This window comes from Homo sapiens, chromosome 3 (genome assembly GCF_000001405.40).
Source record: "Homo sapiens chromosome 3, GRCh38.p14 Primary Assembly".
NCBI lineage: Eukaryota > Metazoa > Chordata > Mammalia > Primates > Hominidae > Homo > Homo sapiens.
The window spans coordinates 173,291,000-173,303,400 of NC_000003.12; positions in this window are offsets into that span (position 1 = coordinate 173,291,000).

Below are 12,401 nucleotides of genomic sequence, written 5' to 3' on the forward strand. Positions count from 1 at the left end.
ACCTGGTAAATTAGTGAGCCTTTGAACACTACTTTCTATCCACTGGGCTGAGAAATGAACAGTTTGGAAAGAGGCTGGGAAAATGCAAGATTTTAGTTCAGCAAATGTTGAGATCAGAAATAATTGGATAATGCATGAAATTATGAACTGTTTACCTGACGTTTAAGCATATGGTAATACACACTGTGAGTGAAGAGTCTGGATTTTGATGAAATTAATAACTTTTTGGTGTTCTGCCATCTGTTTTCTCATTATACCTGAAAAAAATCACTCTAAAAAGCATTTACTGAGTGTTTATCATGTGTCAGACACTGTGCCAGTGCCTAAGTCAACTAAAATAATAACCTGCTTTTCTGGGGTTTATAATCAATTAGAAAAAGACAGGTGTATACATGAATAACTGCTGTTTCAGGTTAAAATGGGTTGAAATTCCACCCTAGAATTTTTCCCCTTCCCCTGCACCTCACAATATGGAACATGTAAACTGCAACAACAACAACAAAAATAATCAACAGAAACCAAATAAGGAAATTAGCATAAACTAGTGCAATAACTGAAAACTGGCCCTGATTAAAGAAAACGAGATTCTGGAGTGCAACAGGAAGGCTTAATAAAGCCTTAAATAATATAGATAAAACAACGAAATGCTATATTGTGGATTTTCACTAATACCCCCAAAGTTGGGGAAAAGCAAATAAGTGGATATCTGCATCTTTTTATTCTTCTTACCAGAAAGCAATAAAAACAATAGTTGGAAAGAAATAAGTGAAATTGAGAGACTGGGCTTGACTGGATATTTCTTAAGAAAATGAAGGCTCCACAGCTGCATACCCAGTTGGAGGAATAATCCAAAGTACAGGATACCCTCTGACCTGAGTAGATGGAGTGAATTCTAGTATAGTATATTTAACAAAATCTGAGAGAAGATAAAGTCCAAGCATTCCAACCAAGAGTACAAAGCTACCTCAACTGATCTTTATTCTCTTCTCCCCTTGGGCTGCAAAATTGTAGATGGAACAAGACCCATCCAGTACAGAAGGCTACCTAGTTGATACCAACATACAACAGATTGAGAATTACTAGTCTAAGGAAAAGAAAATGTAACTGCCCACCCCCCACCACCAAACCCGACCAAACCCAACCACAGCCAAAGTATTAATCTCACAAATGAGAAAACTCAGGGAAATTTATCCATTCCTGAATCAAAAGAAAGATGATAGAGAGGTAAAAATTTTGAAAATCTTCTGTGCACCCATTAACATACAGAACTACTGCTGGGAGAGGCCACAAAATTACTGACCTGTGAGCTTCCAAAAGATAATGGTTATGAAAGACGAAGACTAAGAATCTGTTAACGTTTAAAGGAGAATAAAATGACATAACAACTGAATTAAATGAAGAATCCTAGATTGTCCTGGAACAGAAAAAGACATTGGTGAGATAATTGATGAAATCTGAATGAAGTCTTAACTATTGCATCAATGTTAATTTTCTCTTTTTGATAATTGCACTGTGCTTATATAAGAAGATATCTCTGCTTTTCAGATGTATACACTGAAAAATTTAGAAGTAAAGAGAGCTTATGTTTGCATGAGGGCTTACTCTCATTTATTTCTGAAAAAAACTAGAGCGATAAAATGATAAAAAAAGTATAGTAAAATGTAACATTTGAAGAATCTAGATAATAGGGTAAATTGGAATTCCTTGTGCTTCTTTGTAGCTCTGAAATTATATCAAAATAAAAGTTAAAAGAGAAAAGTAAATATTAAAACTTGGACAATATTAAATTAATAATATAATAAAAAAATAGGTAGGCCAAGTGTGGTGGCTTACACCTTGATCCCAGCACTTTGAGAGGCTGTGGTGAGAGGATGACTTGAGGCCAGGAGTTTGAGACCAGCCTAGGCAACATAGTGAGACCCCATCCCTACAAAAAATAAGAAAAGAAAGGTAGAGTGGAAAAATAGATTGAAGTATAAAGATATTAAGGTCTTCATATTGCATAGCAGGAAGATAAAGCCATTTAAAATTTAAATGTACTTGTGAAAGAACCAGTCTGAGTCCAGTGTCTTAATGCTTTTTGTAAACTTGTTTTGTAAATGTAGAAGTCTTTTAAATGAGAATATTCTTATCTTGAGAAACAACTTACTGGAAGTTAAGTAGTTCCTTCAGGTGTTCTTTAGTTTCTTTTTTTCCATTAAAATCACATAAATAATATGTATAATATGATCCCATTTTAATAAAATGTCAGCCTACTTAGCCTCCTCATCCTATCTAGATATATACTTTGTATGATAGGGTTCATTTCCATGTAATAACATTTTAAATTTTTAAAAACATTCATCTCCATGATTTTCAGCACTATTTGAAATATTTACAATAAGCAGAATTTATTTTTACACAAAAGCAATTTTCTTTAAAAATATTAAAAACAAAAAGATTAAAACAAATAAATTAAAAATTCAAATGTGATAAATTGTGGGTGAAAGGAATATAGATGCTTGTTATTTGCTTCTTTATATTATTCTGTGTTGTTAAAATTTATCATATTTTAAACAAACTAGTTATTAACAAATACATAATACAATACGGTTTTACAGACATTGCCTTGGAAGGGTGTCTAGTGTCTAGTACAGTGGGATAAGGTACTGTACAATTCTTTTTTTTTTCTCCTTCATAGGTTATTGGAGAACAATAACCTATGTTATTGTTTGGTTATGTGTTATGTTATGTGTTTGGTTACATGACTAAGCTCTTTAGTGGTGATGTGTGAGATTTTGGTGTACCCATCAACGGAACAGTATTCACTGCACCCTATTGTTAGTTTTTTTATGGCTCACCCCCTTTCTTTCGTTTCCCCCTGAGTCCCCGAAGTCCATTGTGTCATTCTTATGCCTTTGCATCCTCATAGCTTAGCTCCCACTTATGAGTGAGAATATACAATGTTTGGTTTTCTATTCCTGAGTTTCTTCACTTAGAATAATAATCTCTAATCTCATATCCAGGTTACTGTGAATGCCATTAATTTATTCCTTTTTATGGCTGAGTAGTATTCCATCATATATATATGTGTATATATATATATATAATATATATATATATATATATATACATGATGTAGTGTGTGTGTTTGTGTGTGTGTGTGTATATATATATATGCTACAATTTCTTTATCCACTTGTTGATTGATGAGCATTTGGGTTGGTTCCACGTGTGTAATTATGAATTGTACTGCTATAAACATGCATGCAAGTATCTTTTTCATATAATGACTTCTTTTCCTCTGGGTAGATACCCAGTAGTGGGATTGCTGGATCAAATGGTAATTCTGGTTTTAGTTCTTTAAGGAATCTCTACCACTTCCACAGTGGTTGTACTAGTTTATGTTCATTCCCACCAGCAGTGTAGAAGTGTTTCCTGTTCACTGCATCCACACCAACATCTACTATTTTTTGATTATGGCCATTCTACCAGGCGTAAGCTAGTATCGCATTGTGGTTTTGATTTGCATTTCCCTGATCATTAGTGATGTTGAGCATTTTTTCATATGTTTGTTGGCCATTTGTATATCTTCTTTTGAGAATTGTCTATTCATGACCTTAGCCCGCTTTTTGATGGGACTGTTTGTTTTTTACTTGTTGATTTGTTTGAGTTAATTGTAGATTCTGGATATTAGTCCTTTTGTCGTATGTATAGATTGTGAAGATTTGTTTCCACTCTGTGGGTTGCCTGTTTACTCTGCTGACTGTTCCTTTTGCCGTGTAAAAGCTCCTTAGTTTAATTAAGTCCCAACAATTTATCCTCATTTTTAAGGCATTTGCTTTTGGGTTCTTGGTCATGAAATCCTTTCTTAAGTCAGTGTCTAGAAGGGTTTTTCCAATGTTGCCTTCTAGAATTTTTATAGTTTCATGTCTTAGATTTAAGTCCTTAATCCATCTTGAGTTAATTTTTATATAAGGTGATAGATGAGGATCCAGTTTCATTCTTCTACATGTGGCTAGCCAATTATTCCAGCACCATTTGTTGAATAGGATGTCCTTTCCCCATTTTAAGTTTTCATTTGCTTTGTGAAAGATCAGTTGGATATAAGTATTTGGGTTTATTTCTGGGTTGTCTATTCTGTTCCATTGGTCTATGTGCCTATTTTTATACCATTACCATGCTGTTTTGGTGACTATGGCCTTACAGTATAGTTTGAAATCAGGTAATGTGATGCCTCCAGATTTGCTCTTCTTGGTTAGTCTTGCTTTTTTTTTTTTTTTTTCCTCCATATGAATTTTAGAATTCTTTTTTTCTAATTCTGTGAAGAATGATATTGGTATTTTGATGAGAATTGCATTGAATTTGTAGATTGCTTTTGGCAGTGTGGTCATTTTCACAATATTGACTCTATCCATCCATGAGCATGGGATGTATTTCCATTTGTTTGTGTCATCTATGATTTCTTTCAGTAGTGTTTGGTGGTTTTCCTTGTAGAGATCTTTCACCTCCTTGGTTATGTATATTCCTAAGTATTTTATTTTATTTTTTTGCAGCTATTGTAAAAGGGGTTGAGTTTTTTATTTGATTCTCAGTTCGGTTGCTGTTGGCATATAGAAGGGCTACTGATTTGTGTACATTAATTCCGTATCTGGAAACTTTGATGAATTCTTTTATCAGTTCTAGGAGCTTTCTGGAAGAGTCTTTAGGGTTTTCTAGGTAAATGATCATATCATCAGCAAACAGTGACAGTTTGACTTCCTCTTTACCGATTTGTATGCTCTTTCTTTCTCTTGTCTGATTGCTCTGGCTAGGACTTCCAGTACTATGTTGAAGAGGAGTGGTGACAGTGGGCATCCTTGTCTTGTTCCAGTTCTGAGAGGGAATGCTTTCAACTTTTCCCCATTTAGTATTATATTGGCTGTGGGTTTGTCATAGATGGCTTTTATTATATTGAGATATGTTCTTTCAATGTGAGTTTTGCTGAGAGTTTTAATCATAAAGGGATGCTGGGTTTTGTCAAATGCTTTATCTGCATCTATTGAGATGATCATGTGATTTTTGTTTTTAATTCTGTTTATGTGGTGTATCACATTTATTCACTTGCATATTTAAACCATCCCTGCATCCTGTGTAATGAAACCCACTTGATCATACTGAATTATCTTTTTGTATGTTGTTGGATTTGGTTAGCTAGTATTTTGTTAGGGATTTTAGCAACTATGTTCATCAGGGATATTGGTCTGTAGTTTTCTTTTTTGATTATGTCCTTTCCTGGTTTGGGTATTAGGGTGATACTGGCTTCATAGAATGATTTAGGGAGGGTTCCCTCTTTCTCCATGTTGTGGAATAGTGCCAATAGGATTGGTACCAATTCTTCTTTGACTGTCTGGTAGCATTCTGCTGTGAATCCATTTGGTCCTGAACTTTTTGTTATAGGTAATTTTTTAATTACCATACAACCTCGCTGATTGTTATTGGTCTGTTCAGGGTATCTAATTCTTCCTGATTTAAGCTAGGAGGGTTGTAGCTTTCCAGGAATTTATTCATCTCTTCTAGATTTTCTAGTTTATGAGTGTAAAGGTATTCATCGTAGCCTTGAATGATCTTTTGTATTTCTGTGGTATCAGTTGTAATATCTCCTGTTTCATTTCTTATTGAGCTTATTTGGATTTTCTCTCTTTTCTTGGTTAATCTTGCTAATGGTCTGTCAGTTGTATTTATCTTTTCAAAGAACCAGCTTTTTGTTTTTATTCATCTTTTGTATTTTTTTTTCACTTTCATTTAGTTATTCTCTAATCTTGGTTATTTCCTTTCTTCTGCTGGGTTTGGGTTTTGTTTGTTCTTGTTTCTCTAGTTCCTTGAGGTGTGATCTTAGATTGTTTGTGCTCTCTCAGGCTTTTTGATAATGTAGGCCTTTTGGGCTATGAACTTTCCTCTTAGCACTGCCTTTGCTGTATCCCAGAGGTATTTGATAGGTTGTGTTGCTTATTGCCATTCAGTTCAAAGAATTTTTTAATTTCCATCTTGATTTCATTTTTGACCCAGTGATCATTCATGAGCAGGTTATTTAATTTCCATGTATTTACATGGTTTTGAAGGTTCCTTTTGGAATTGATTTCCAGTTTTATTCCACTGTGGTCTGAGAGAGTGCTTGATGTTATGCCAATTTTCTTAAATTTGTTGAGTTTCATTCTGTGGCCTATCATATGGTCTATCTTGCAGAAAGTTCCATTTGCTGTTGAATAGAATGTATATTCTGTGGTTGTTGGATGGAATGTTCTGTATATATCTGGTAACTCCATTTGTTCCTGGGCACAGTTTAAATTCATTGTTTGTTTGTTGACTTTTCTGTCTTGATAACTTGTCTAGTGCTGTCAGTGGAATATTAAAGTCCCCCACTATTATTGTGTTGCTGTCTATCTCATTTCTTAGGTCTATTAGTAATTGTTTTATACATTTGGGGACTCCAGTGTTAGGCATATATATATTTAGGATTGTGATATTTTCCTGTTGGACAAGGCCTTTTATCATTATATAATGTCCCTCTTTATTATTTTTTTTTTACTGCTATTGCTTTAAAGCTTGTTTTGTCTGATATAAAAATAGCTACTCCTGCTCACTTTTGGTGTCCATTTGCCTGAAATATCTTTTCCACCCCTTTACCTTAAGTTTGTGTGAGTCCTTATGTTTTAGTTGAGTCTCTCGAATGCAGCAGATGGTTGGTGATTTCTTATCCATTTTGCAATTCTGTGTATTATAATTGTAGCATTTAGGCCATTTACATTCAATGTTAGAATTGACATTTGAGGTGCCATTCAATTCATCCTACTATTTGTTGCCTGTATACCTTGGTTTTTTGTTTTTGTTTTTTAAATTGTATTTTTGTTTTATACATCCTGTGACATTTATGCTTCAAAGAGGTTCTGTTTTGATGTATTTCCAGGATTTGTTTCAAGATCTGGAGCTCCTTTTAGCGGTTCTTGTAGTGGTGGCTTCGTAGTGGCAGTTTCTCTCAGCATTTGCTTGTCTGAAAAAGACTATCTTTTCTTTATATATGAAGCTTAGTTTCACTGGATACAAAATTCTTGATTGATAATTGTTTTGTTTGAGGAGGCTGAAGATAGGACCCCAGTCCCTTCTAGCTTGTAGGGTTTCTGCTGAGAAATCTGCTGTTAATCTAATAGGTTTTCTTTTACAGGTTACCTGGTGCTTTTGTCCCACAGTTCTTAAGATTCTTTCCTTTGTCTTAACTTTAGATAACCTGGTGACAGTGTGCTAAGGCGATGATCTTTTTGCGATGAATTTCCAAGGTGTTCTTTATGCTTCTTGTATTTGGATGTCTAGATCTCTAGCAAGGCCAGGGAAGTTTTCCTCTATTATTCCCCCAAATGTGTTTTCCAAACTTATAGATTTCTCTTCTTTCTCAGTAATACCAAACATTTTTAGGTTTGGTCATTTAACATAGTCCCAGAATTCTTGGAGGCTTTATTCATATTTTCTTATTCTTTTTTTCTTTGTCTTTGTTGGACTGGGTTACTTTGAAGACTTTGTCTTCAAACTCTGAATTTCTTTCTTCCATTTGTTTAATTCTATTGCTGAGACTTTCCAGAGCATTTTGCATTTCTATAAGTGTGTCCATTGTTTCCTGAAATTTTGATTGTTTTTTATTTATGCTATCTATTTGCTTGAATAGTTCTCCCTTTACTTGTTGTACCATTTTTTGGATTTTCTTACATTGGGCTTTGCCTTTCTTTGGTGCCTCTGTGATTAGCTTAATAACTAACCTCCTGAATTCTTTTTCAGGTAAATCAGGGATTTCTTCTTGGTTTGGGTTCATTGCTGGTGAGCTAGTGTGATTTTTTGGAGGTGCTAGATAACATTGTTTTGTCATATTACCAGAGTTGGCTTTCTGGTTCCTTCTCATTTGGGTAGGCTCTGTCAGAGGGAAGGTCTAGGGCTGCAGGCTGTTGTTCATATTCTTTTGTCCAATGGGATGTTCCCTTGATGTTGTACTCTCCCCATTTTCCTATGGTTGTGGCTTCCTGAGAGCCGAGCTGTAGTAATTGCTATCTCTATACTGGATCTAGCCACCCAGCAAGTCTACCCAGCTCTGGGCTGGTACTGGAGGTTGTCTGCATAGAGTCCTGTGATGTGAACTGTCTGTGGGTCTCTCAGCCATGGATACCAGCACCTGTTCTGGTGGAGGTGGCAGGGGGGTGAAATGAACACTGTGAGGGTTCTTAGCTTTCATGGTTTAATGCACTATTTTTGTGTTGGTTGGCCTCCTGCCGGGAGGTGGCACTTTCCAGAGAACATCAGCTGTGGTACTGTGGGGAGGAGCAGGCAGTGGGCAGGGCCCTAGAACTCCCAAGAGTATCTGCCCTTTGTCTTCAGTTACCAGGCTGGGTAGGGAAAGACTACTGGATGAGGGCAGGGCTAGGCATGGCTAAGCTCAGACTCTCCTTGGGTGGGTCTTACTGAGGCTGTTGTGGGAGATGGGGGTGAGGTTCCCAGGTCAATAGAGTTAAGTTCCTAGGAAGATTATGACTGTCTCTACTGTGTCATGCAGGTTGTCAGGGAAGTAGGGGAAAGCTGGAAGTCACAGGCCTCACCCAGCTCCCATGCAATCTTGAGGGCCAGTTCACTCCCACCATGCCACCTCCAACAGCACCAAGTCTGTTTCCAGGCAGTGGGCGAGTAGGGCTGAGAACTTGCCTCAGGCCACCCGCCTCCCAGCTGCAAAAGCAAATATGGCTTTCCTTCTTCCCCGACCTGTGGAATCTGCACACTGGATTCACGCCCTCCCCCAAGTTCTGGCCAGGAGGCTTCTCAGTCGGTTCAAATTGTTACAATGTTCACATGGAAATTTCCTTTGTCCTGTGGCCTTTTCTCAGACCCTCTGGCCGTCCTCTTGAAGGACTCCTATGAGGCCAGGCAAAACCCACTTGATGGGGAACACAGCAAGCTCCCAGGACTTTTCCTGCTGCTTCCTCTACCCCTGTATTTCTCTCAGCTCTCTAAATGGACTCAGCTCCAGGTAAGGTCAAAATCTTCTCCAGTAATCTAGGCCTTCAGTTTCCCCAGTGGGGGTGTGTGTTCGGCAATGGATGATTTCCCTTTCCCACTTCCACAGTATGGGTACTCACAGTATTTGGGGTGTCTCCTGGGTCCTGCAGTAGCAATAGCCTTCCTTCAGGGGGTCTGTGAGCCTTCTCAGGTTTCCTGATTTATTCCTGCAGTTGCTCTGGAGCAAACATTCAAGACGTAAGCCTCCACACACTGCTCTGTCCACCCGAGTCGGAGATGCAATTTAGTCCTGCATCCCGTCCGCCATGATCCCTGAAACCTCAGCACTGCACAATTCTAATTGAAGGGCCAGGAAGCACTTCCAATAGATGGTGATCTCTTAGCTAAGCCTTGCAACATGAGAGGTGATGGGTGGATGGAGGTAAGAGGGCATGGAGAATGAAGAAAGAACCCTATGAGTGAAAGGCATTCTCTTGAAGTAACCTCATGTGCAAGCAGTGGGCTGGTTCACAGACCGTTGGGGTGGAAGAATGTGTAAAAGTGGAGGCGGGGTAAATTGGTGGCTGGGAGGGTGGTACAAAGTAAGTGATCAAAATAGAAAATTAGAAACAGGACTCTGGAGGGCTTGGTATGCCATATGAAAAGGTACAGACATTGTTCCATGAGCTAATGTGTTTATGATCAGGATTTTCTAGAAGAAAACTGCAGCTGGAGAGGCCTCCAGGAGATCAGTGGAGATGAGGACAGTCAGAGGGGTAAGCAGGGCTCCAATGCTTTATCCAGCTTCAACATGAGTAACTCCAAACTTATCTGTGTGGCATATTGAAGTTATATTTTAAGAATGGTTTTAGATCAACATGCTCCAGAATCCATACCTCCATGACCTCTAAGCTCTTGGGATAATTGAGACAGACAGTATTTGGTTTGCGGTTTCCTAGAATATATTATAGAACAGATTATACTCCCTGTGCTATGTTGTCACAGGGCTAAATCTGACATGAAGAGAGTTTTTTACAAACAGTTTGAAAGTGTTACACTATAACATTATTTTATGTCAATTCCATTTTCCTCTTACCACACTTTTTCAATCACTTGCATCAAAATAAAGGGAGAGATATTACTTAGGTGGTGGACAGAATCTTATGAGAGTATGGTAGTGGGAATATTCTGCTGATTCAGCCACCTTTGCTTTTTGTCCTGAGAGATTTGATATTCCAAATATGTTGTTTTCAAACTCCTCATTGTCCCCTGGTAATTTTTAGAAATAACTTAAATATGTGTACCAGAAATATGAATATATGTCCTCATCTTTCCTTAATTAGTATGGGAGGAAAGGAACAAAGGAAGAAATTGATTATTGTTGTTATCGGCCATTCCAAGCTATTCAGACTTTGGTAGCATGGAAGAAGAGTAGCAGATTTGACATTTGCTGTCTGATTTTTTATCAAGTCTACTTTAGAATTAGATGCTGAAAGATTATTAATATTTTAATAGTTTCCTGACACCTTCTTTCCCTTTTCACTTAATATGTGAACACCACATTTTATGACTATGAAAAGCCAAAGAAGGACTTTCAGTAGAGAAGAAACAGGACCAGATTTGTGTTTTCGAATCATTGTTCTGGCAGAATTGAGGAAGGTTTCTATGTTTTACAGGAATGATACTAAAGGCACAAAACACATTGCACCAAGATAATGAAAGCCTGAAATGGAAAAGCCTCTTCAGAAACATTTGCCAAATAAATGAACGAATAGGTGGGCAAATGAAAGCTTGAATTGAGACAATGGGAAAGGAATGTATTCAGATGCAAGGCTGCAAGGTATAGCAAAGAGGCAGGCTACGGGGGCACACAGACTAGATAGCGAAAGAAAGACGTGGGAGGGATCAGGGTAACCCCTGGGTTTCTGGCCAGGGCCACGGGACATTATAATTTTATATATACATTTAAGATAGGTAAATAGAGGAGGAAGGGAAAGAAAGATGATAAATTCTGTTCTTGCTAAGTTGCTTTTGAGACCTGGGGCCTGGGGTATCCAGGTAGTGGTGTTTAGTAGACTCTGGAGAGAGAATTGAAAGAGCCATCTGGACTGAAAAGAAATATCTAGGACTTACAACAATGGAAGGGGTAATTGAAGTCAATTATAGAGAAAGAAATCGCCCAGGGATAATGCATAGTGAGAAGAGGAGAAAAGAATGCCACAGAACACCAATTTTAAGGAGAAATCAGAGGATGAGGAGTCAACAGAGACTGAGCAGAGGGGCAGCATATTCTACTCCACCCTTATCACTGTGTTTACTTGTGTATGCATCTGTCTTCCTTTTGAGACTATGTCCTTTAAAGGGGAAAGCATTTCGTATTTTATTCCAAAAATCTAAAATAGTAGATGATAAAATAAATTTTTGCTACATAAGTTAATACGTATCTTTTCAGTATAAGACGTATTTTGATAACTTTATACAAGTTCTTTTCCTCTGTAATTGGTGGATGTACATGTTTATAACTTAGTAAAGTTATCCAATTTTGTGCAGCACTGCAGTAATTATAGTTATTACCCTTAAATAATTATGGCCAGAGAAATACTAGCCTAACATGGTTGAATTTTAGGAACATTGGCTCAAACAGTATGTGCAGATATCTTGAGACACCATGCATGCAATACCAAATAATCTCACAGTTTTTTTTTTCTGCTTTTATAAATCACCAGGAAGCCAAGACATCTCAGCAACAGCAACCTGACTATAGATGTAAAATACTCCTGCAGAGAATAGGAGAAGTATATGCTTTTCTTCTGTAAAGTTATTTAACATTCTGCACCACTCTTATACACTAATTTGCAGTTGAAGTAATAGCATTTCTACATAGGTATTTTGCATTAATGCAAATGTAGATTCTAATATTCAGGAAAATAATTTTATACTGTTAATATTATTTCTAGCTATAAGCTATTCTGACTGACACCAGCTGCCTATTGGGGTGATTTCGGGAGCATTCAAAGAGCCCTCTGCCCTCTCAAATATAGTTCTCCCCTGTTCTCTGACTCTTCTGATTTTCCTATCCTGTAAGATGTTATTAGATTTAAGGAGTACACTCTAAACACCCATTATAAAGAGGGCTTAGAAGCTTAATTTTTAAATAACAGGTTATGTGCAAATGTGAAATCTGGAAAATAGAACAATCTTACATTTGAGTACTGTTTGTAGTGAAAATTATTAGCTCTTATAATTAATCCTTTTTAATTATACAGGAAAATATATTTATTTGATCAATTGTTATAGCCTTTTGCAATTAATTCTCTAGATCACCCAAAGAGCAGGTTCTGACCATTGACTTGCAAGTTCTTTGAGGGTAGAAACTGCATCTTGATCGCCTTTATTTCCTGTCCTTGTCACTG